This window comes from Homo sapiens, chromosome 3 (assembly GCF_000001405.40).
Source record: "Homo sapiens chromosome 3, GRCh38.p14 Primary Assembly".
Lineage (NCBI taxonomy): Eukaryota > Metazoa > Chordata > Mammalia > Primates > Hominidae > Homo > Homo sapiens.
In genome coordinates, this window is record NC_000003.12 from 157,254,693 (window position 1) to 157,281,357 (window position 26,665).

The window sequence follows — 26,665 nt, forward strand, 5'->3', positions numbered from 1 at the left end:
GGAACTTAAACAAATTTACAAGCAAAAAACAAACAACCTCATAAAAAAGTGGGTAAAGGACATAAACAGACACTTCTCAAAAGAAGACATACATGTGGCCAACACTCATGAAATAAAGCTCAGTATCATTGATCATTAGAGAAATGCAATTCAAAACCACAATGAGATACCATCTCACGCCAGTCAGAGTGGCTATTATTAAAAAGTCAAAAAACAACAGATGCTGGTGAGGTTGTGGAGAAAAAGGCACACTTTTACACTGTTGATGGGAATGTAAATTAGTTCAACCATTGTGGAAGACAGTGCAATGACTCCTCAAAGACTTAGAGGCAGAAATACCATTTGACCCAGCAATCCCATTACTGGGTATATACCCAGAGGAATATAAATCATTCTATTACAAAGATGCATGCACATGTATGTTCATTGCAGCACTATTCACAATAGCAAAGTCATGGAATCAATCTAAATGCCCATCATTTGGGCAATGATAGACTGGATAAAGAAAATGTGGTTCATGGAATATCATGCAGCCACAAAAAGGAACAAGATCATGTGCTTTGCAGGAACAGAAAACCAAATACTGCATGTTCTCTTTTATAAGTGGGAGCTAAATGATAAGAAGACATGGACACATAGAGGGGAACAACACACACTGGGGCCTTTCGGGGAGTTGAGGGTGGAAGGAAGGAGAGGATCAGGAAAAATAACCAGTGGGTACTAGGCTTAATACCTGGATGATGAAATAATCTATACTACAAATCCCCGATGACACAAGTTTACCTATGTAATGAACCTGTACTTGTACCCCTGAACTTAAAATGAAAGTGAAAAAATAAAAAGACACACCGTGTGCACCCCTGCCTCCATCTCTGCTATCTTGGCCCATTCTTTACCCAGCTTCCCTTTCAGGAAAGGAAACTTGGACAAAGGAGAGCACAGGCAGGGGGATATAGAGACCATAAACATGGCTTGTATGTGGACATCAGCCATCCTTAGTCCTGTCAAAAGAGAGGGTAAGCAACTATAGGCAAAGCTGACCTCACACCTTTGAGGATGGGCGCACTGGGGGCATTTTAATCATTATGTTTTAAAATTTGTTACATTTGCAATATGCTCTACTGTTCACAAAAATGTTAACATACAGTTTTGATTACTGTGAAACAAACCTGTGTGGAACTCTTAATACTTCCTTCTGCTAACTGCTTTACATTTTCTTCCCCCACATTTAAATATCTCTGAAATTAGTACATGTTTTACAATCACTATGCAGTGGGAATGGCTGTGATGGGGTTTCTGTTGTTGCCTATTGATGTGCAAATACTATCTTAGCTCTTTGTGTTGTCACATCCATTCAGATATGTGGATAGTTGACAGCACACGGGCTAATTGCTGTTTACTATGTCTTAAACAGGTTACAATTTGGTTTGACTTTGAAACAAAAAGTTATCATGTACACAGAAAAGCACAGAAGCAGAGGAGTGGAATGAAGTGTGATATTAGTGAACGAAAGAGCCAACATTGAAGTGACCACAGTTCCATATGGTCTTGCAAAGCAACCACTGAATGTTTTGCCTAAAAAGGAAGACATCAACATGTAATTATCATTAAGACATGGTATCATAGTTACTTAATGGTACATAAAAACTGGAGTGTCTTTTTCAAGCACCTATTATGTTAAAGGTTCTCTGCTGGTTAAGGTTATAGGTTTTGTGCTTTTGCACGACATGTGTGTCTCACATCAATTCCACTCTGTGGATAATATTATCCCCAAACCAGGGATGAAGGATGAATAACTGTCTCAGGTTGGTAATCTAGTTTTGATAGAGTGAGGGATTGACTCTTCACGTGCCCAGAGCCTGTGCCCCTTTCCCTACCTTGGTAGACGTCTTCTGGATTTTCCAACCCCTTTGTCTTTCAGGAGCATCTTTGGGAAGGATTTGTTCCAAAGGATCTATACTCTGGTGCTATTCTGAAACAAGATGACAGTTTGTTTTTTTCTTGGTTTCTCTTCTAAAAATTTAGATTTTGGGAACTGGAAATCCTTATTAGGGCATTTAAACCATGGTATTTATTTGTCTGCAATGCACTTTGAATTCAGCTCACATTCTCTCACCTTATCTCACAATTGTTTCCTAAAGTGGGTAATGCTTCCTTAAACATGTAATCCTTATTTATGTCTGAGAATAAGTCATCACCACAAACAGGTCTGTGGGTACCTATGGAAAGTAGGTGAGTTGGAGATGACCCAGTAAATGCCCCTTGACATCACCAGCTAAGGATTTTCTAGAAAGCTCAGTATTAGAAAAGTATTGAACATTTGTTTTTACCAAACTCCAGGTTCTCAAGAAGTAGCTAGATAAGCTTCTCATACATAAACATTTATATTTCCAATGCTATCTGGGAGGGAAAAAGAATAAAAATTAAATTAAAATGAAAGCCACTTCAATTTCGGTCCATGATTATAATTTTATTCATACCAACATTTTTAAAGGTTTAAGCATGTTTAGGAAAGTGGTTTCTTCTTAGATCGGGAAGAAATGGCAGCCCTTTTGGGAAAGGCCGGTCTGTGGTAAACTCACCAGCAACCAGGGTGGAAGTGCCAGAAATATTCGCGGGAAGCTGATGATTCTGAGATTCCTAGTGTGATTCTGAACCCAGGAGAATTTACTTGCATTGGAATTATTGCATCATGGAATGAAACCAAAAAGTTCATTATTTACACTTCACACATTTACTTTTTTTAAGATCTGGCTCAAAGGCACTGAGAATTATGTTGTAGATTAGAGGCATCCAGTTAATTAAATCACAAGGACTTTGTAGCAAGTAGTAAAAATAATTCTTTCCCCACAAATTGAGCTGAGGGGGCCATTCTCTTCTTTCTGAGGCCAAACATTCAGCATAACCACTGTTTTACCACGAGCTCTCTGCTGTGAAAGGTTTAAGCACACTGTTGGCATTCAAATTTTTAATAGCTAATGCAAGGTCACCTAATACTTTGTCAGTGTTTGTCTGTTACCAATTGTTCCTAATTGACTAAAACAGCTAGAGTTATTCACTGACTCTTAAGTATGGGGCGGTAAGTTTTAAAAGAATATTTAGAGAATCATTTACAACTATACTCATTCTCATCCTTTTCGTGCCCAACTTCACAGGAGTTGTCTGTCTGCAAGGTTAGTCCCCTATCTGTTCCCTGAATGTATACATCAAAATTAAATTTACCATCTGCTTATCTCTCAAAATGCTGCTTCTGAATTTTCTATTTCAGTGAATATCATCATTATCATCATCTACCAAGTTTCCCAAGCAAGCACCTAGGGATCAGCAGAAACTCTTTCCTTTCCATTCCCATACTCCAACTCCATCCAATCCGCCAGTGTTCTGTCCATTTAACTAAATCAGTATTTTTCCTGCCTGTTCATTTATCTCTATTTCCTTTGGTACTACATCAGTCCAGGTCCTCACTACCTTAGAAGAACCTCCCAAATGGTCTCCCTGCTACAATTTTTGATATTCTTATAATCCATTCTCTATACCACTATTAAGATTACCTTTCTAAATGCAAATCTGCTTAAAACCTTTTAATGGTGCTTCATCATCTTATTTGTGATTTTTTTTTCTTTTTTATCTTTATTGCTGCCACACAAATTAATGCCTCATCATGTTAAGGAAAAAGTTTAGACCCTTGGCATGGAACCAAGTCCTAAATCCTGTGGTCCTGCAGGCCTTTTCAGCATGACTCTGAACCATTTTCCATACACCCCTTATGTTTCAACCCTAGGGAAAAGCTTACGTTTTGCAAATGGACCATGTTCCTTCTCCCTCTTTTGCATTTGTAGCGTGGTTCACCCTACTGACCATTTGCTCCTTGTTTGTCCACAGCAATCCTACTAGTTCTTTAAGACTAGCTCATTTTCTATCACCTCTGGGAAGCAGTGAGGGAGTCCACTCTGAGTTTAAAGTCACTTACAATGGTGTCTTCTCTTGTGTTTCCACAGGACCCTGTGCATACCTTCATCAAGGCACTTGCTGCGTAGCACTTATATTTCTGTTGTACGTATATGTCTCTTCCACTAAACTTTAAACTTCTTGAAGAGAAAAACTGTGTCTTTTATCTTTGTATCTCCAGGCCAAGCATGGCAACTGTTGCTTAGCACCTGCTCAGTTAATTGCTGCAGAATAAAGGAGTTTTAATCCCTTCCTATCACTTCTGGAAACTTTACTCAAGCAAAGTCATTTTTTTCCTCTTTCTTTCTGTATTTTTAACTCCTTCATCTTTCCCTTAATTCTTACTCATCTTAAAAAGAGCAAGAAAACACTTGCTCCATCTTAGCCCCTTCATCGTAGCCCCATTTTGTTGAAAGAATAGTCCAATTATTGCTTTAAAGTCCAAACCTCCCATTGACACTTCAGCCTACTAAAATTTGATGTTTACTCCCTCACTCAAATGGAATTGTTCTTCCCAATGACACCAATTGCTTCCTGATTGTGGAAGTCAGGCTTTATCTTAAGTGATTACTCTTCAGGATTTCAAATTGTTGCCCTGTTTTTCCTGAAAAATCCTTATTAATTTGGCTTTTGTGACATTGTTTCTCCTGGTCTACATAATCTCTCAACACTAATCAGATACACCAGCTGCCTTTACTTAAATGCTGGTGTCTCAAGGAACCCTTATTAATTCTTTTGTCTTCTTATTCTCTCTGGGTAATTTCATCTAATTTTGCATCTTTGGTGACTACCTATATATCCAGTGATCCTGAATTTTGACCTCCAGAACTCTATTTCCAATGTGTAATAAATTCTGTGACTCACAATACCCTCAAACTTTACTTGTTAAAATGGAATTGTTTCCTTTCGCAAACATGGCCCCTTTTATATTTCCTATCCTAGTAAGTTAGCAGGAGGGTCAAGGTGTTGACCATTCATAATCTTTCTCCAGGTTTCTATACTAGACTACATAATCAATAAATTTCAAGGAAAAAGTTATCCCTTGTATGTAGCCCAACTTAGCTTTTGTATTAGTTAACACTGCATAACAAATCACCACAATTTAGATTTAAAACAGCATACATTTATTATCTGAAAGTTTCTGTGGGTCAGGAGTCCAAACGTGATTTAGCTGGGTCCTCTGCTCAGAGTTTCACAAAGCTGCAAGCAAGGCGTTGGCTGGGGCTGGGCTTTTATCTGAGGTTCAGATGCTTCTTCCAAGATCACATGGTTGTTCACAAAACTTATTTCCTTGCAGCCGTAGAGCTCATGGCAGCTTGCTTATTTAAGGCTAATAGGAGAGAGAGTCTCTGACTGGTTCACTCTCTTTTAAAGGACTAGTCTGATTAGGTCAGGCCCACCCAGGGGATCTCTTTGATTAACTCAAAGTCAGCTGATTAGAAACCTTATGTATATCTGCAACTTCTCTTCACTTTTGTTATATAACATAACATAATATGGGAGAGATGATCCCATCACTTTTGCCATATTCTGTTGGTTAGAAGCAGGTTACATGTCCCACCCACACTCAATGGGGGAGAGGATTATACCAAGGCATGGATTATTGAGAATCACTCTAGAATTCTGTCTATCATAGTGTAATTATATATCTATGTAGTGAAAAAAATAGATGTTTGTAATTTGGAGGTATTAAAAAGTTGAATACAAAGAAAAAATTATAGAACTTTAAAGTCTTAATTTTAACGGAGATGGCACATTATTTTGAAGATAGAGAAAATGGCTTTCTATCCTTTTCCTATATTACACTTAGTGCCTTGGGCAGGATATATGTCCAAGTATCTAAACTGTAGATTATATTATATGAACTTAAATGGAATAATTAAATAAGTAATTCTGAAAGACAAGTATTTAATGACATAACTGGCTTGATTTGGGAACCATTTTACCATGTGTTAGCCTCAGTTGTAGTAAGAGAGGATCATGTAATTATATGTCTATAAGTAAGTTATATGGTTTTTCTCAGTGTACATTAGTTCAACGTTTCTAAAGGTTTTTTTTTTTAAAGTTTTCTTTTAATACCTTTGACAGACTGTGATTTTCATCAGAAGTGCTAATCTTTCCTCAGGATGGAGAGTTCAGGCATCTTTTCATGTTGTTTTCTCACAGTTTTAAATGACATATCTACAGAAGTTCTTTTATCAGTGACTTTTCCCTTCCTGGCCCCACACTATCTGAGGGCATACTCTGTAGCTCCTTTTATTTTATTTTATTTTTGTGGGCATCAGATATATTCTGAAGTCAATACTAAAGCTGTTAGAGTATGACATTTACTAAGAATCCTGCCATTTTAGGCCCTTCTTCTTAAAGGACAACAATTCCATTGGTATTTAGTAAAAAACAACATGGCTTGGTAAATTTAGCTCTTTTTCTTGACATTGGCAATGATAATACAATGCCTGTGGTGTATAATTGTCATGGCTGACTTATAAATCCCTACAGATATGTGGTTACTTCTCTACTTTCCCTTTCTTTGGCTTGGGCAACTGCCACGTTGATGCACTGGAGCCATTCTTCTGCATTCTTCTCATCCTTGGCCTTAAAGACATAGGTTTTATTGTCTGTGAAGATTTCGAAAGCCCGGGGGAGAGAGCGGTCCCTGCGTTTCTTGGCCACAGCCTTCACACTCTGTACTTTGCTGAGTTCTATTGGGCAGTCGTCAGGGTCATCTTTCTGAAAGGCATGGGAAGAAAAGAACATGGGCTGGCTGTTACTGTAGGCAAGGATCTCTGGCTACTGGAGAACTTTCTAAGAGGGCCAGAATCCTTTCACTTTTTATGTCTCAAGACCTTTGTTATTTTGGGTGCTAAGGCCTCAGAATCATTAGAATAACTGAAGGAGTGAGCAATTGGGCCTTTGTTAGAGTATCATAAGTTGACACAAGATAATTAATTTAAAGGATATTATTATAAAGTGGGATTTGGGAAAAATTCAGAGTTCTTTCATTTTCTATTAACGTTATATTAATAGAGCAAGGTGCAACGGTACAATTTGGAGTGCTATTAACTTATAACTTCAGGTAGTTTGGGAGGCATGAAATTGAATTTTCCTTTGTGCTACCTCTGAGAAAGATTTTGCCAAACCTTAATTGAATAGAGAGGCTTCCAGTGTTTGCATAGACCAAACTGTTTTTGAAACTCTCTGCAGCTTTGGAAGCATGCTTTGTCTACAAACAGTAAGAGAAGAAATATTTAATGATGTTACATTTGCCTTTTATTAAAGCAAAAATTTAAGGACCTCTACAATACCAAAGTCATCACACTGGGCTAAGATGAATAATTTTAAGGGGCCAGATATTTCTTTGAAGTAATTTCAGGTCTTTCACATGAATACATTTTGTCTACTAGAGAAAGTACCTGTGGTTGAGAATCTTGCCAATTCTCCTTGCCCACCTCTCCTGTTGCAATCACCCTCCTTTCACTTTGCAATGAAAAAGCATCCTCTTCACTCATCCCATACTTTCTATGATGTTTTGTCCAATGTAAACAAATCTCAGAAGCACCAAACAAAAAAGCAATTCCAACTATTGACATCAGGGAAGTATCCATCAGCCAAGGCAATGTAATCACTCCTCATCTATTTCATTATGAGATACATTTTCAATAATATTTCAATTTTTAATGTTTAATAATTATTAAGCTTGGCATTATACTTATGGATTTTCATGAAGGATATAACTTTTTAAAAAGATAACTAAATCAGAAAAAATAACACTTGGAGACGGATGGTCACAAGGAATTTAAACAATTAAATTTCAATTTATACATATAGTTTTACTCAGTGAAAAATGAAATGCCATTCAGGATAAAATGCTGTGATAGAGGTAGAACAGAAACATGATTTAAAAAAAAAAAGAGAAACAATGTGAACACTTCTATTTAAAAAAGAGTTAATTTATGTATTAAAAATAGTGTTAGGTGTTAAACTGCTATGGTATTTTAATCCAATGGTTACATTTAATGGAGAGATGTAATCCTTTTGTTTTAAAATGTCAATATTTACAATTCAACAGAAATTACAGTCCGGGCAAATGTTTAAACTTATGATAAAAGTGTTGCTGCAACTTAAAATGCTGCAAGGTATTACATAGATTTTTCAAAATTCTTTTAGGGTACACAGGATAAAGTTTGAAGACATACACACTAGACAATACTTTGTTAGCCTAATTTGGTTTACAGTAAGTATCTGACAGTAATAAAATTGCATTTCTTTGAAGTAGTCTATAGTACAGAGATTGATACGAAAATAAAAAGTTACCATAGTAATTTAAAGATGGACAGTGAATCAACTGAGACAGGAATAGATAGAAAGTCAAAGGACACTATTGCCTAGCTAGTTTGTGGAGATCAAGGTCTTAAAAATGCAAAAGTGAAAGATTAGAGTCTTCCACTAGAGTCTTTCAACCTCAGCTCTAATTTTAAAATGCACATTTCTTTCATTTAAAAGGGGCCCTTTTACAAGGACCTGAAGCTTCAGCAGGATTGTTGACCACTGGTAGGTTATTGTTTCCCTGGAGATTAGAGGTATTTTGCTGTGGCCTTCATGCTATATTAAATTATTTCCCACTATTTGAGCCGCAAGTTTTGTCAGAGTTATGGAATGTCAGACCATTATTTCCTGATAAACATGTCAAACAAGTTACCTAATTATAAAATTGCTTTTTCTTTAAACCTTATTAAAAAAGCCATGAATCAGAAAGTATAAAGGTCATTATTTGAGTTCAGAAAAACATTCTCATAGATTAACTCTGCTTTGTCTTAAGGGATCTGGAAAATTACTACGTCTTCATTTCTATTCTTGATTTCTTGAATAAAAACAGAAAATTCAGGTAGTCATTTTAAACACTTTAAACATGCTTTAGTGTGAACCTATGCTAAAAAAATTTCTTTAAGTTTCCAATAGCTGTCTAAATTGAACTGCCCTTTCAAAAAGATGTTCAGCTACAGAAAAGTCCATCTGTATATGTTATAACACACACAGATGAAGAAAGTAGCATGACTACACAGTAGGTATCACAAAAAATATTCTTTTTCATTCAAAAAGTTAACAGAAGTCTTATTAATTAAAAGAGCACTGGTCAGAATACACGATACTTGATTCATACTGATTAAAATGTTCAAATACATTTTATAATGAGTACTCTAAAGATATAGTGCATATGGCCGAGAATGAATTATAATTTTTAACTAATTTACCACTTTTCATTAATTAATTCAGACAGTTTGGTTTATGTGATGGTTAATTTATGTGTCAACTTGACTGGGCTAATGGGTACCCAGACAGCTGGGAAAGCATTATTTCCGCATGTGTCTGTGAGGTGTTTCTGGAAGAGGCTGGCATTTGAATTAGTGGACTGAGTGAAGAAGATCCATGCTCCCCATTGTGGGTGGGCATCATGCAATCTATTGGGGACCTGGATAGAATAACAAGTTGGAGGAAAGATAAATTTGCTTTTTCTTCTTGCACTGAGACATGCATTCTCTCCTGCCTGTGGATATCAGAGCTCCTGGTTTTGGGGCCTTCAGACTCTGGGACTTACATCCCTCCCCCCAGCTCACTGCCATACCCAGGTTCTCAGGCCTTTGGCCTTGGACTGGGAGTTATATCATTGACTCCCTTAATTTTCTGGCCTTAGGACACAGACTGAATTACACCACCAGTTTTCCTGGTTCTCCAGCTTGCACACAGCATATCATGGAACTTCACACCCTCCATAATTTCATGAGCCAATTCCCATAGTAAATCTCGTATATGTCTTTATATATCCTATTGGTTCCATTTCTATGGAGATCCCTGGTGAGTACAGTTTACCACTGACTCTGTATTTTAAGTATACATGGGAAGCAGTAAACTCATTTAAGAACATGCTTTGGTGTAACACTGCCTGATCTTGACCCCAGTTATACCCTTTCTCACCTTATTAGCTTTATCCTTGGACAATCCAATCAGTTTCTTTGACTCAGTTTCCTCATCTGTGAAATGGCAATAATAGCAGTGGTGGCCTAATAGGATTGTTTTGAGGATTGTTTGAGGCAATCCAAGGTGTTGCATAGTAGGCACTGAAAAAATGCTAGTCATTATGATTATTTTCTAAAATAGCCAAGAAGTAGGTCAAGATTTGATTCCTCTTGATCCTGAATCAGGAGAGTTTAATGATACATAAAACCAATTTGAAAAGAAGAGAAGGTAACTTTGCATTATTGATTGCAATGGAATGCTACTTCAGAGGTTTCCCACTGAAAATTCACAATACAAATAATTACTGAACATCCTATTCAAATGGAAAATTATATTAAATATTTATTAATTTGATCATAATTCTATTATATTCATTAACTGAATATTAAATAGATGAAAGACAGTAATATTTTAATCAGAATTAAACTTTGTTGACTATAAAAAGTACCTAAAGTAAATCAGCCTTCATTCTTTCCTCCTTGTCTATGTCCTCCTTTTTTGGACCCCCATTTCCAAATATAAACTATAGCTATAAAAAAATCAGAGCCAATATCATAAGTCATAAATTTGTGTACGTGGTCCACAAGGAAACAAAGGGCACGGTGTCTGAGTCAAGACTTGCAGTCCCTCTGCAGTTCAACTAAAAAGTCAACTAAAACAAGCTTCCATAATAAACTGGAAGGGGACAGTGAATCAACTAACATAGGAATAAACAGACTAGACACAGAAATGTGTGATAAAACAATGCTGTAAGATGGTGAAATGGAGATGGAAAAATTATTAGAGTTTAAACCCAAGACAAAACGTTTAGCTATTGGTGGAGATCAAAACCTTAAAAATGCAAGTGTAAAAGATGATGGAGGAACTTACAGACTTTCCTTTTTGAAACAGAAGTTGATTTCCAGCCAGTGTAAAATAGCGTGTTTTCCACCTTTTGATGAACTTCCATCTGACTTGCTTCTCTTTAAGTTTTCCTTCTATGAGAGGCTGGCCATCTTGATTTACAACTGTTGAAGGTAGCAGAATAATCATGCCATGTATTTTCCAATATTTACTAGGTAGGTGATCAAAAGTCAGAACTGTACAGTGTACCAGAACCCAGTTAGCACACCTGGAAAGTAGGCTAATAAATGATGAATTTGGTTAACCTTTCCTCCTTTGTCCCTAAAAGAATGCACAATTCAGATATGACAATGGAAAACTGTTGAAAGCCCTCATTGCCATTTTCAAAAGAAATTGGTTCACACAAAGAGCATCTGTTAGCAGTATTTAAAGTTTATCTGGATATTTAGCTTTCTGTGCTTGGTTTCTTTGTTTCATAGTGTTCTGTTTCTAATGTTGGAATAACCAAATTAATTTGGAACAGTTTGAAATGTTGGCACAAAGTATCTAGTATGCCATAAGCTTCATTTTGATTTTGCCAGTAACTAGGTAATAAAAAACAAATTTCCATGCTTTATGACACATGAACTGCTGGAAATATAGCTTTATAAATAATCATAAACCCAAGTATATTTAGCTATTTGGCAGCAAAAGTCAATGCAGCACTCCAAAAGACATGGTTCCTAAAGCGGTAACACCAAGCAGCAAAGGCAAACTTACCCAACTCTTGTACATGCTAGTCTCACTCTCTGGAACACATGTACTCTCTTTCCCCTCTCTGTATTCCCATCTTCACCTAGTCAACAACTGATCACTTCACATTTCAACTTAAATGTTGCTTCCTTTGGAAAGCCCTCTCCAAATCCAGATGAGGGTGGCTTTCCCCCATATGTTCTCATGGCACATGGCATGTTTCTTATATATCAGGGATTATCATTTGTAGATAGATATTAGTGCTTATCTGATTAATATCTTTCTGTCTCATTCAGTTGAAAGCTCCACAAGGGCAGGGTCTTTGCTTTGTTCTCTGTTGAATCACCAAGCATCTAACATGGTGCCTGGCAAATAGTAGGAAGTCTATAAATATTTGTTGACTGAATGGACTAATTTTACATTGAAGCAGAGTGTGCATGATTACAAATGATCATAGAATTAGAAGATCCATTGCAATGTCAGAGTTTAGACGCTGAACTGAATAATTTTATTCCTTTTACCAACAACATAAGATTCACTCTTCAAATTCAGATGAAAGCATCTGATTTCAGCAGAAGGGGACAATGGAAAGCTCCATCTGTAGTAGGACAATGTTTATTTATATATATTTATCTTCAATTTTCATAGCACCTTGAAAGTAATAAAATTTGTTCCATCAGTTTGGAAAAATTCTGGACTGTGCCTGTTTGACCCTATGAACACAACCTGCCTTTTGTACACTACCATTTCTTTTTTCTAATATAGGTCTAATAATTGCCTCACAGGATTGTCCACTTTCACAGAGCATTTTCAGGATAAAAATAATAAAATGTATAGTTTTCTTTTCTTTTCTTTTCTTTTTCTTTTTTTTCTTTTTTTTTTTTTTTTGACAGTTTACTCTGTCACCGAGGCTGGAGTGCAGTGGCACGATCTCAGCTCATTGCAACCTCCACCTCTCGGGCTCAAGTGATTCCCCTGCCTCAGTCTCCCGAGTAGCTGAGACTACAGGTATTCGCCACCACGCTCGGCTAAATTTTTGTATTTTTAGTAGAGACAGGGTTTTGCCATGTTGGCCAGGCTGGTCTCAAACTCCTGGCCTCAGGTGATCCATCCACCCTGGCGTCCCAAAGTGCTGGGATTACAGGTGTGAGCCACCATGCCCAGCCGAAATGTAGAGTTTTCATAAACAAAGTACTATTAAGGCTATTTTTTTTTCCGGATGACTATTCAATTGGCTGTTCCATTGTCAACTCCAAATTAAGGCTAAAAACTGGCCAGGCGCAGCAGCTCATGCCTGTAATCCCAGCACTTTGGGAGGCCGAGGTGGGTGGATCTCCTGAGGTCAGGAGTTTGAGACCAGCCTGGCCAACTTGGCGAAAGCCCATCTCTACCAAAAATACAAAAATTAGCTGGGTGTAATCCCAGCTATTTGGGAAGCTAGGCAGGAGAATTGCTTGGGCCTGGCAGGTGGAGGTTGCAGTGAGCTGAGATTACGCCACTGCACTCCAGGCTGGGCAACAGAGTGAGACTCCGTCTCAAAAACCAAACAAACAAACAAACACTGAAAATACATATCAAATATATTGTAAGATAGTGATAAGGACTATGATGAATATAGAATAGGGAGTAAGTGACTTGGGGGCTTGGTGTACATGCATGCATTTCAGTGGTCAGGAAAGAGCTTGGATGTTTGAGGTGATGACATTTGATCTGACACCTCAGTGATAAGACCCCCAATCTTCTGAGAAGCTCTGGTGGAGGCTACTACTGAGCATAGCAGAGGCAAAAGAAAGCAGGAACTCATGAAATATAAACTTACAATTAATATCAAGAAAATAATTTCAGAGTTCTGCTTTGCTTTGATAGGAATTGTCTGATGTGGAGCATTCTTAAAGCTAGTAATGATCTTTGCAAATTTAAATTTTCCATAAACATGGTGATTTCCTTTGTGCAACCACATCTACAGAGACTTCAGTTAAAGTGCTTAGGGCACTGTGTCTCCCCACTGGGTTATGCGTTCCTTGAGATCAGGAACAGCCTTAACACAGTGCCTGCCGGGCTAGAGCCTCAGTAAATGTTTATTAACAGTACACCATTGAGTCACAAAGGGTGCAGCAGACTATCTGGGATGAGGAAAGAAGGTTTCAAGAGGTGATCCAAGAGGAGAAAAAAGGGGAAAAATAAGTTAAAACAAACAACAAAAACAAAATACCAAAGCCAAAATTAATTTAAAAAATTTAAAAGCACCCATTTTTCATATTTTCAGGTGAGAGAAAATGGTAATCTAATTGTAATATCTGAAGGTTTTTAATATTAACTTAGAAGATTTAGATTTGAATCCTCTAAATTACAATTTTCTAATCAGCAAGAGAAAATAATAATGCCCCCTGGGATTCTGGGAGGTCAAAAATCAAAAGAAAGAAATTTATGTGAGGACACTAGGTAAATAGCAAAGCACAAGGCACTGCTTCTCCCTCACCCTAGCCCCACTTCTAGGAAAGACTTGACTTTACAGTTTTTTTGTTTTGTTTTCCTAAGACAGGGTGTCACTCTGTCACCCAGGCTGGAGTGCAGTGGTGAGATTTTGGCTCACTGCAACCTCTGCCTCCCAGGCTCAGGTGATCCTCCCACCTCAGCCTCCCGAGTAGCTGGGACCACAGGTGCACACCACCACACTTGGCTAATTTTTTAATATTTTTTTGTATAGACAAGGTTTCATCATGTTGCTCAGGATGATACCATGGTTTTAATGACAAGATGATTTAATGTAATGCTATTTAATAGTGATACATTTTTCCTGTCTCAGTCTTTCATATTTACTCAAAGAAACATTTGAAATAGTTATGATATCTGAGATGATTTGAAATAATGATTGACTTAGGTAATATTTAAGTACATGGATCCTTTTGGATCTGACATAGAGGATTAACTACTTTATTTTTTCTCAAGGCAGATCCAAATGTTTCACTTGAAGAGTAATGTGTGACAAAAGTTTACAATGAACACTGGGCAAAATTGTTGGAGTCCTTAAAGACATGGGTGAATGGGATATAATAACTATGATGAGACAGTCAAGACCAAATGATAGGCTTACTAACAACAAAGGATGAAGGACTTCAGAGACAAGCTGGGAAGCAAAGACTTTTCACCGTAGCCCAGTGAAAATCAGCCCTAGGGGAAAAAAATCAATGAAAATGGTTTTAGAAAGGAAACATTAGCAGAACTTTAAAGTAGCTGAATGTGAGGCCCCAAATTTAGGTGTTAGAGTCAGTTTCAGAGAAGTCAGTAAAAGCCAGGCTATTTGGAGCTGTGAGATTAATTTAAAAATAATTTCAAAAAACAAAACAAAATTTTTATATCCCGTATCTTAAAAAACTGTTTGTTTGTTTGTTTTTTGTTTTTGTTTTTGTTGTTTTTTTTTTTTTTTTTTGCTATTACATCTAACATATGCATGGCTGGGGACGTGTCATTTTAAAGGTCTATTGCCCATAGTACGTCCTTTTAAGCAGGTGATTCAGATATGTTATCACAGCCTCTTCACAGCTAAAACAAGAAACTATTTTTCTAAGATCATCATATTCCATTTGAAAAATAACATGTGGAATGATCTACGAGGGTATGATCATGTATCATCTAAAATAAATTGTTTGCATGTAGAACATAGAGGATATTCAATCATTTTCTCACTTTCCAATTAACACATTATTTCATTTAAAGCACCACAATTTGGCCAGGTGTGGTGGCTCATGCCTGTAATCCCAGTGCTTTGGGAGGCCGAGACAGAGGGATCATTTGAGGCCAGGAGTTGAGACCAGGAGTTTGTGACCAGGCTGAGCAACATAGCGAGACCCTGTCTCTACAGAAAAATAAAATAAAATAATTAGCTGGGCACGGTGGCATGCACCTGTAGTCCCAGGTACTCACGGGGGTGAAGGGGTGCAGAGGTGGGAGGATCGCTTGAGCCTCAGAGGTCAAAGTGTGCAGTGAGCTATGATCATGCCACTGCACTCCAGCCTGGGTGACAGAGTGAAATGCCATCTCTTAAAAAAAAAAAGCAAAACAAAACAAAACAAAACACCAAAAAACAAAGCACCACAATTTGGCTAGGACATTCTCTACTAACATGGATCTGTTTATTTTTTAAAATATCAACTGGCTATAAAAGCTATGGGTTATTAAACTGAATTTTCTAGTGCAATTGGAACCCAAACTGTTACTGTGTTTGTCAACTTAAAAGTTTTTCAGAATGCTAATACAAATGTTTATATGTTAATTTTATCCCTTTTCTGCACCAAGTTAAAAATATTTGTTGCTAAAAAAATGAATTTTGAAGGGGTTGGTCTTATTCAACATGAAGTTGATGAGTAAGTATAATAATAACAGGTCTCCCAGAGCTGAGAAGACCCACAGCAGGAAGAATAAAAAATAAAGAATATTCATCTGCTCATTTATCAATCATCCACCCACCCCGTATGTATTTTCGAGCACAGATAAGCTGTAAGGCACTATATTTGGATCTGAGGGGTCATAAAATCACCCTCACAGGGAGCTTTAATTTATCATCTAGGGAAGATATGGCATTTTACAAATTCTACTGCTCAGTGTAGGGTTTGGCAAGTGCCACCGAGAAGTACAAGCCACATGTTACAGCATTTGAAGAGCAGAAATTCCACTTCTAGTTGAGACAAGGTGACATGAGAGCTGGGACCCTCATGAAGAAGAGAGAATTTTCCAGATAGAGTGCAGAAAAGGATCAGATAGGATTTTCCAGATAGAGTGGTAGCAAGGTAGGTGTGTGGGGGAAAACACACAAAAGAACCTGAAGAAGCCGGAAGAATCAGCAAACTCAGAAACAAGTAAAGCAGGTGCTCTCGAACACCCCTCATGGGCTGAGGGGTGAAGGGAGAAGTCAATTCAAGGCTTTCTAGGTGTAAGATCCAGGAAAGAGATTGAGTAACAGTCACAGAGAGGTCATATTGGACTTTATGGGAAAGTTTTTCTGAAGCCCCTTTAGAAAGGACTAAGAAAGGGCCTAGAGCCTGCGAGGGTCCAGCTAGCCCAGCATGAAGCCTCATGGGCCCCAGATGGGATCAATGATGTGTCAGGCAGGGTCTTGGCAGGAAACAGATGGCATCTCAAACTGAGCAGTGGAGGAGAGTTAATAGAGTTACTAGATTATTTACTCAGATGTGGGCAGGGCGTAGGAAAAGCGCCATAGTACTCTGGGGCCAGTAACCATGCAGGCCTAACACTCCTCCGCCTGAAGAGGAAAGGGCAGAGAACAGTTAGGACTTAGTGGGAGACCTGTATGGAGAGCACCGTTTGATAACAGCTGTGGCCTGGAATAGAGGACACTGTCGACCCTCGGTGTCCAAGCAGGGAGGCAGCCAGCAAATCAATAACTCAACCTCTCTCTCCTCCCTCCCTCTGCTTACTGGTGTCCCCAGTGGTGGAAGGTACCTGAAAGCCAGAGCTAAAAGAGCCTATTGAAACAATCACTACATGGCAGCCTGTGGGACATGGAGCTGGGCAGGAGAGATGGAAAACAGAAGCGATCAGGCACTGATTATATGTCAAATTCAACAAAGTTCAGATATACGAGGGAACTTCAAAAGTTCATGAAAAAAATGGAATTAGAAGATAAAAATAAAAAGTGGAAACTGTATTTCTCAACATAAACTCCATCAAGTTCAAGACACTTTGGTAAGTGGTAATATCAGCCATTTAGTCCATTATTAAAGAGCTAAGGGTCCTGGGAATTTAACCATGTTGATGCAGTCGTTTTAACATTATTAACTGAAACAAAATAAGTGCCCTTTGCAGATTTTTTAAGATTAGGAAACAAAAAGTCAGAAGGAGCCAAATCAGGACTGTAAGGTGGATGCCTAATAATTTTCCATGGAAACTCTTGCAAAATCGCCCTTGTTTGAAGAGAAGAACCAGCAGGAGCATTGTCTTAGTGGACAAGGACTCTCTAGTAAAGTTTTCCTGGGTGTTTGTCTCTTTTCTTCTTCCTTCCTTCCTTCCTTCCTTCCTTCCTTCCTTCCTTCCTTCCTTCCTTCCTTCCCTTCCTCTCTCTCTCTCTCCCTCTCTCTCTCTCTTTCTTTCTTTCTCTTTTTCTCTCTCTTTCTTTCTTTCTCTTTCTTTTCTTTCTTTCTTTCTTTCTTTCTTTCTTTCTTTCTTTCTTTCTTTCTTTCTTTCTTTCTTTCCTTCTCTCTCTCTCTTTCTTCTCCCTTTCTTTTTTTTTTTCAGGGTCTCACTCTGTCACCCAGGCTGGAGTGCAGTGACACAATCATGACTCACTGCAGCCTCCAGATCCTGGGCTCAAGTGATTCTCCCACATCAGCCTCCCTAGTAGCTGGGACCACAGGCACGTGTCACCACATCTGGCTGGTTTTAAAAATTTTTTATTTTTGTAGAAATGGGGTTAGGCCATGTCGCCCATGGTCCTCAAACTCCTGGGCTCAAGCAATCTGCCCACCTTAGCTTCCCAAAGTTCTGGGATTACAGGCATGAGCCCCTGTGCCTAGCCCCTGGGTGTTTTTCTGCTAAAACTTTTGCTAGCTTTCTCAAAACACTCTCATAATAAGCAGATGTTGTCATTCTTTGGCCCTTTAGAAAGACAACAAGCAAAATCCCTCAAGCATCCTGAAACACTTGCCATCACCTTTCTTCTTGACAGATCTGCTTTTGACTAGACCAAAGTACGCCTACAACTTGCCAATTTGCAGGTAGTTTGTACTACAGACATGGTGGTGATTCCCTTATTATGGAAGAAGGGTAGAAAGGAGTTAGAGGGGGAAAACCATGGGTCTAAAGAATAGAGAAAAATCCTTTTATCTCCTGGCGGTGGAATTGACTAGAAATGAATAAGATGCCCCCAGTGGTTTCTTCTCAGTTAATAAGAGAATTTAGCATTCATGTTATTCTTGTCATGGAAGACTGAGTTCCAGTTTTTATTAATACCCATTGCCATTCATTGATTCTCCCATTCTTCTATTCAAAATGCCTTTATGGTTACCATGCACTAGGCACATGCCAGGTAAAGGGGATATAAACACAAATATGACAGTCTCAATTATTGAGATGCAGAGAAATGCAGTAAGCAAGTGAGTACAGAGTGGGATAAGTACCAGGCTAGATCTGTGCACAGGGTCTAACTGGAACACACTGAGAGGCACTTATTCTAAACTGGGGCATACAAAGCAGAAAAGCTTGCTAGAGTAGATGCTGTCTGGGCTGAATTCTCAGGGACAAGTTGCAGCTATGAAGGCAAAGGAAGGAAGGTCATTGAGCCAAAAAAAGAAGTAAAAAAGAATAAAAGTTCATAGCAAAGGACCAAAGCTGAGGAAGGGAGGCATAAAATGCATTCTAGGAACTGTAACTCATTCTGGGAGGGAGCAGGGTGGGAGAGAAGAGGCAAGAGATGAGGTGTGAGAATCAGAGAGACCAATCCTAAAGAGCCTTGGGCACCATGCAGAGTGGAATGTAATGCTTTGTAGTGTAACATAATGAAAAAAAGCTTGTATAGTCATAGACCTCTTTTATTTCAAGAGCACAAGAGTTCAATAATTCACTCTCTACCTGGTTTTAAGATTTGTTGCAATTCTGAATGTCTTTAACCAATTATAATTTATTTAACCAGTGTGCTGAATGCCATGTTTACTCTTTATTATAATAGATCACATGAGACTGTACCAAAGACTTTCTCTAGTATAGGCCTATGGTTTATGTGGTAAGAGCACTGTCTTTGGAGGCCGACCTCAGTTGAAGTCCAGAATCTGCCACTTACCAGCTGACTGGTCCTGGACAAGCTATTTAAAGTCACTGAGCTTCCCTTTCCTACTCCCTAGAGTTATACTTAACACAACACAAATGGCTGTGGGGGTTTTGCTAGTGAAGCCATACATCCCCGTGAGGATTACATGCACCATAAATGAAAGCACATAAAAGTGCCACAACAGTTGACAGTGGCCTTGCTTAGCTGAGACCTGGTCACAATAAAGGATCAATAAATAGTAGCTACTGTCATCATGATTGACATCATGGATCAATGCAAATCATAATCATCTTTTCACTGTGATGAACAGGTGGTTTTAGAAATACCATGTCCTAATGGCCTATATCAAAGTGTGAGGAATAGTAAGAGAATTCAGAGTAAGAGAGGGACTCCTGCAGTCTTTGAACTTGGACCTTTAATAAAAATGGAGGTATGAAAGGCAATTCCAAGTGTCTCAAATGGAAGGTGAACTCTCTGTCTCTCTGTCTGCATGTGTGTGTGTTTTAAAGACAGGGTCTCTTTTGTTGCTCAGGCTGGAATACAGTGGCTTGATCATAGCTTACTGGAACCTTGAACTCCTGGGCTCAAGCGATTCTCCTGCCTCAGCCCCCCAAGTAACTAGGACTACAAGTGCATGCCATCACACCTGGATAATTTTTAATTTTTTTTTGTAGAGATGGGGTCTTACCATGCTGCCCAGGCTGGACTTGAACTTTTGACCTCAAGTGATCCTCCCATTTCTGCCTCCCAAAGTTTTGGGATTATAAGCATGAGCCACTGCACCTGGCCCTCTTCTGTTTTTGAGTAACTCATCCACGTATTCATTGAAACTTCCATTTACAAGACAGTAAACTGCCATTTACAAGACTGTAAACTTCCATTTACAAGACAGTAAATCAATCTACAACCCAGTAATAGATTGAGCTGCTTTGGGAGAATTTCCTGTTATCTGTGGTTGCTTCCTTCTCTTCCTAGACTTTCTGCTTGTTTCTGCTTGTTCTCGTGACAGTCTGGAAGGAATGACAATAGACAATAACCTCCACATAACTACTGTTCACATGGCACACTGACTTTCATCCAGACTCAGAAATTACTCATACTGTGTGCTTTTTGGCTTATGCCAGTTTTGTCTTGAAAGTATTGCACTGTGCATGAATAACTCATATTTGAGACTGTCATGAGTTTAATTTGTGATATTTGAATTTCTAGATACTCTTTTCTGATTGTTAAAGATAAATGCCTTCAAAAGAAAACATATTCTGGAAGAAAAAATATAAACCCCAGGCCAGGCAAGGTGGCTCACCCCTGTAATCGCAGCACTTTGGGAGGCTGAGGCGGGTGGATTGCCTGAGCTCAGGAGTTCAAGACCAGCCTGGGCAACATGGTGAAATTCTGTTTCTGCTAAAATACAAAAAATTAGCCGGGTGTGGTGGCATGCGCCTGTAGTCCCAGCTACTCGGGAGACTGAGGCAGGAAAATTGCTTGAACCTGGGAGGCGGAGGTTGCAGTGAGCCAAGATTGTGCCATTGCATACCAGTCTGGTGGCACAGGGACACTCCATTTCAAAAAAAACCAACAAAAAATATATATATATAATGATTGACATGTATAGATATATATCAATATATAGATATGTAGATATTGATTAGATATTGAAATATAAATTAACTCCAAATTCTTAGTTTTTAAGTAAGAACTGAGAAAAAGTATAGTATGTCATTTTTTCCCCCTTGAAAACACTGCTTCTGGGAATTATGAATCCTATACAGTCTATGGGGAATTTCTTTGTATGTATTTAAAGTTTCAAATTTACTTCAATCTCCTTCCATGGTTTTACTGATTTTTTTTTCTTTGGTGTGTGTGCCAGTTCTAATAAAGCAAACTATAATTCCAGAGGATATGCAAAAAGAGGGCTAGAAGCATTAAATGAAGGGGTCGTAGGAGCCACATTTACTAGACTGAGTGTCTGTGGTTTTTGAAATTGCTAAGGATCATAACAAATGGCATGTTTCTTAAGAATCTCCAGGCAGCGTTTGAGAGTGCAATATTTCTCTACTGGCAGTGAATAAACCAGGAGGCATGATCCTCACTGACTTTGTAACATCCTACACAATATTGTGGGGACCAAAATTGGACAGCCAAGCTAAGTTTGACAGCAGCCCTTTGAGGGCACTGCCACATGTGACTGAATGGCTTCCTTTCTCAGTAATTTCATACCCATCAAAACATATGCTTCTCTGACCAATTACTGATGTACTGATGCAAAAAAGCTTCAGAAATACGGTGTTGTAAGCATTTAGGGCTATGTTTCCTGAACTGTGTTGTGAGAACCAGAGAATCAGAATTATCTGCCAGCTTGTTAGAATGCACATTTCCAGGAACCACCCTAAACTCACTGAATCAAAATTTTGGGATAGGGTGAGAAGCCTTGCATGTTAAACAAGGTCCACAGGTGATTCTTATGTTGCTCAAAAACTTCTAGGAAATAATTAGTATCTTCGTGGTAGATGACAGTAATAGGTTATATGATATACGAAAGAGTAAAACTGCAAAACCAATTGTAGGGAGAAAACTATGACCTTTTGATAAAATTAAAGACAAGGATGGCAGTATAAGCTTACATTCATGTTCTTGGTTTCAATCAATAGGGTTACAGAAAAAATGTTCAGAATTAGTGTTTGTGGAATTTTGCTTATTTTTTTATTGTGTTAATAGTGAGACAAAAATTTTAAGGGCACTTTCCAAGATGGTAACCTGTTTAATAGTTCTGAGTAGTACATGTCTTTATGAGAAACTCATCAAAGAAGATTTGCCTGGGACTGCTGTGCAATGACTGATAGAGACCAATAGGAAAAGATCAGGAGAGTGGCAATGAAGAAGATAATTTTTTTTTTTTTTTTTGAGATAGGATCTCACTCTGTCACCCAGGTTGGAATGCAGTGGCATGTTCTCAGCTCACTGCAACGTCTGGCTCCCAGGTTCAAATGATTCTCTCATCTCAGCCCTGCAAGTAGCTGGGACTACAGGCATGCGCCACCACAGGCTAATTTTTGTATTTTTCGTAGATATGGGGTTATGCCATATTGCTTAAGCTGATCTCCAACTCCTGGGATCAAGTGATCCACCCACCTGGGCCTCCCAAAATGCTGGGATTACAGATGTGAGCCCCTGTGCCTGGCTGATAATTGTCTAATTGTAAGATTAACTTTTAATAAGAAAGGGTTTCACACATATCCGATGTTGGTCCTACTGAGTCTCATTAATAAGATCGCGTGGATAGATATTACTGATGGGATCTGGCCATAGGACTTTAGTTTTAAATGTTGAGCACTTTCCCATACTGCCTGCAGATTGTAGAGTTTGCCTGGGGTTGGAAAAAATAGATCTGACAAGCTTGTGCCCCGTCTGTGATAAGGAGGACCAACTTGTTTGGGTTGTACCATTTGAACACATTGTAACCATTGTCCTACCTGCCTGTAAATTCTTGTATTCTGGAACATATTAAGGTGTTACCTACACCACTTTTATGGAATTTTTAAACAGGAGTTCCATCTGTTGTGGTTCAGCACTTGGCCTCAAACCTTTTGACAATGAATAGATGTTTATAATGTCTGCACTGGAAGCCTTAGCAGTTACATAAACACCATCACATGCTGTATGTTATATATGAAACACACACATGTATATACACATATATGTGTACATATCCATGTGTATGTATATTTTTAATACACATATATATGAATATATCACACATTCTATTAACATGATCTGTTTATTATAGTACTTATGAAAAGAACTTATTTAAGAAGAGACTGCTTATATAAAGAATATATTTGGCACAAAAGAGATGCTGTAAATGTCATCATATGAATATCTACCTTTTTCTTGTAAAATGAGTCATTGTTAATTCATTTATCTGTTTTTTGTCATCACTTGACTGAGAAAAAAATTATTACTGAAAATTTTCTGAGAAGACACTAACTTTGGCCATTCGTTTATTGGTACATATTTATTGAGCATCTGTTGTGTGCTAGGGGCTGAGGATAGATGGATGAGGAGAGTCCACTTCATAGAACTTACTATTTACTGGAGGAAGTAGACATTGATCTAAAAGTCACACATAAAAGAACAAGACAGCAGCTGTAACCAATGTTATGGAGAAGAAGTTTGGGGTGCTTTGAGGACCTCAGTATGCATCGGGGGGTTACAAAAGGCTTCCAATACTGAAGCTGTGAATTTGATTTGTAATAAGAAGGCTAAGATCTACTTTAACTAAGTGAAGAAGGGAGAGAGGGAATTCTTGGTAGAAGAAAAAGTACATATAAAAGCATTGTGGCAGGAAGAAGTACAGTGAGTCTGAGAAACTTTAAGAGTGTTCTTCTAGGCAAAGCAAAGAGAGCAGAGGGAATGTGGGACAGGATAAAGCTGGAGAAGCTGGGAGAGACCATTCCATGTGAAACCGTGAAGGATATGTTATGAAGTTTGGTCTTTAAGAGCTATGGGAAGCTACCTAAGATTTCATGCAAGGGGTGGCACAACAGATTTGTGTTTTGAAGAGTTCACTCTGGCTGCATCGTGGGAGGGAGATTGGAAGGGTTCAGAGTAGTTCAGTGAGGAGGCTATGGCCATTATTGTAGGTAAAAGGTGATGGCAACTTGCACTAGTGCTGTGGAGAGAAATGGACAGATTTGAGAGCAATTGAGAAAGTAAAATCCTCAATCTTGTGGTGATAGATTGGATGGGGGTGGTGGAGAAGGCAGTGAGTGGGCCTCTGGTTGGTACAATAGATTGAGTGATGTTGCATTCACTGAGCTAAGGAATGCTGGAAGAAGAGTAAGTGTTTGGGGGAAGCAAAGAGACAATCATGAGTTTTAATTTAAATGAACTGATGCTGGGGAGTGGTGCATGCTTGTAATCTCAGCTACTCTGGAGTCTGAGGTGGGATGATTGCTTGAGCCCAGGAGTTTGAGAGCAGTCTGGGCAACATAGCAAGATCCTATCTTAAAAAATAAAACAAAATAAAATAACTGATTTTGGGGTGCCTTAGAAGCAGTCAAGTAAGTGGTAGGTGATGTAAATCTTGAATTCAGAGGAGAGGCCAGGCCAGGACCGCATATATAGATCTGGAAGTTGTTGCATAGAGGTGATTACTGTAGTAAGAGCGTTACTCCAACAATGACTAGCTAGGTAAAGAAAGGTGGGATAAGAAGGAGTGTCCAGAGAGTAGGAAGGAAGCTAGAGGAGTGTTGTGTCACAGAAACTGAAGAAGAAGAATGCTTTAAGGAGGAATTGGTTTACGGAATGGAATATTGCCAAGAGACAAATAACATGAAGACTGAACCATGTGCAGTGCATGGGTGACTTGCAGGTTGTTAATGACTACAGAGAGAGATGATAGAGTTAGAAACAAGGTTAGAGAGGGTTGAGTCATGAGAAGGAGGCAAGGCAGTGGATAGAGAGAGACAACTCTCTTGGCTTTAAAGGGGAAGTGAGAGATAAGGCAGTAGATGGAGGGAAAGGGGAGGATAAGCCACTTAATTATGTTTAGAAGCCAATGGGAGGACTCAGTTGGAAGGGGAATATTGAATAGAGAAGAGAAAAAGGTTAATCTAATCTATACTGGGAAGTTTCTGAGAAGGTGGGAAGGATGAAATCCGAGGCAAAATATGACCATCCTTTGATGACTTTATTCTCTGTGGCTGCTAAAAAGTACCAGTATGTCAGTTGGGCCTGGTGGCTCACGCTGGTAATCCCAGCACTTTGGGAGGCCGAGGCGGGCGGATCACGAGGTCAAGAGATTGAGATCATCCTGGCCAACATGGTGAAACCCTGTATCTACTAAAAATACAAAAATTAGCTGAGTGTGGTGGCGCATGTCTGTAGTCCCAGCTACTCGGGAGGCTGAGGCAGGAGAATCGCTTGAACCCGGGAGGTGGAGGTAGCAGTGAGCAGAGACTGTGCCACTGCACTCCAGCCTGGCGACAGAGCAAGACTCTGTTTCAAAAAAAAAAAAAAAAAAAGGACCAGTATAGTACCAGTATTTCTTTTAAATAGGTGTATTTGTGGCTGATAAACAAATTTCATTCTTAGTGTACTTACATAGGTCAATACAAAAAGGATTACTCTGCAATATGATGGCTAGAGCTCTTTTAAAATATACTAAGTATTTTATTTTAAAAACTGCACAAAATTCTTGAAATCAATGTCATCTTATGCTTGTATGATGATGAAACTAATGTACTCACATTAGTCTGCCTTTCCAAAGCTTCTCCTCATCTATATATTGGCTTGACTCAGCTTGTTCTCTATGTGGAAAAGGACACATTACTACGTATAGTGATTTGTTAGTGGATAATCACAGAATGACTGATGCTTTGTTGCAAGTATATGGCCTATCTGACACTTTTCCTCTGTATCAAGACAAGATTGTTGACCCAATATGGAAAGGCAGAGGAGTAGGAAAGTGATGCTGGATGAAAAATAGAAGTTAATCCCTGAGGGGTGTTAGGTTACTGATCTTAGCTTGTTTCTCTTCAAGATTTACAAGTTATTAGCATGTTTACTATGAGCTCTTTGCCTATGTGTATATTGTAACATTTTAGCATAATACTAAAATTCAGTTTCCACAACATGTTGAAACCTTGTATACAGCAATGTTTTCTTCTCATGAAAGCTAATTTTCCAAAAGATGCTATTTCCAGGTTTCAGTTCAGTTAGTTGTTTTTAATTTTGAGAAAGAGTTAGATTTTTAAAAGTTAGATTTTCAAGTTGCATTTCAAAACAAATTCGATTTTTTCCCATGGGTATTCTATCACTTAAGTGATTAATGAATTTCTCAATCACTCATCTATTTGCCAAATGCTTATTAAACACTATAATGTGCCAGGCACTGGTTAAGATGTACAAAGATGAGGCATAATCCATGGTTCTTCTTGTAGTTTACTGTCCAGAGGGAAAGACTGATGGCCACATGCCAAGTGCAATACAGAAGTGTAGGCAGAGGATGGAAAGGACAGAGAGAGAGAAATTAATTCTGCTTAGGGGTGGTATGTAGGTGTGTGTGCATATGTGTGCGTGTGTGTGTGTGTGAGAGAGAGAGAGAGAGACAGAGAAAGACAGAGAGAGAAAGAGGGAGAGAGAAATGAGAGTGTGTGGAGAGGTTTAAGAGGGAGAGAAGAATGTTCATACCACAGAGACATAAAATAGGAAGATGGAAGATGGGGAAAGGGAGAAAAGGAAGATTTCAAGATAATAAATTATCTGAGTTTGTAAGTGTGTTTTTATTTTGTCTTTAAGTATTGCAAAGTATCTGAACAAAAAGCTGAGGTTCAATTTTACATAATC

The 26,665-nt window shown here is 38.5% G+C and overlaps 1 protein-coding gene and 1 long non-coding RNA gene across 16 annotated transcripts in view, besides 2 other annotated features; one reads left to right on the plus strand and one right to left on the minus strand.

Moving 5' to 3' along the window:
- LOC101928236 (uncharacterized) overlaps positions 1-26,665 on the plus strand; it is a 220,247-nt gene that overhangs the window by 80,993 nt on the left and 112,589 nt on the right. The window lies entirely within an intron of this gene.
- Positions 1,045-1,576: an enhancer, noted in NCBI's record as "NANOG hESC enhancer chr3:156973526-156974057 (GRCh37/hg19 assembly coordinates)". NCBI's record gives its function as "activates a minimal SCP1, AML or CMV promoter by ChIP-STARR-seq in naive H9 embryonic stem cells {active_cell/tissue: H9 hESC(naive)}" and the evidence as "EXISTENCE:reporter gene assay evidence [ECO:0000049][PMID:30033119]".
- VEPH1 (ventricular zone expressed PH domain containing 1) overlaps positions 5,050-26,665 on the minus strand; it is a 243,864-nt gene continuing 222,248 nt past the window's right edge. For all 15 annotated transcript variants that reach the window (XM_047448927.1, XM_047448922.1, XM_024453748.2 and 12 more), the window contains 2 exons: positions 10,834-10,970; positions 5,050-6,678 (listed from right to left, as the gene is read on the minus strand). In XM_047448927.1, coding sequence (XP_047304883.1) covers positions 6,442-6,678; positions 10,834-10,970 — 374 coding nt within the window. In that variant the 3' untranslated portion in view covers positions 5,050-6,441. The remainder of the gene's footprint in view (positions 6,679-10,833; positions 10,971-26,665) is intronic.
- Positions 19,831-20,372: an enhancer, noted in NCBI's record as "OCT4-NANOG-H3K27ac-H3K4me1 hESC enhancer chr3:156992312-156992853 (GRCh37/hg19 assembly coordinates)". NCBI's record gives its function as "activates a minimal SCP1, AML or CMV promoter by ChIP-STARR-seq in naive and primed H9 embryonic stem cells {active_cell/tissue: H9 hESC(naive and primed)}" and the evidence as "EXISTENCE:reporter gene assay evidence [ECO:0000049][PMID:30033119]".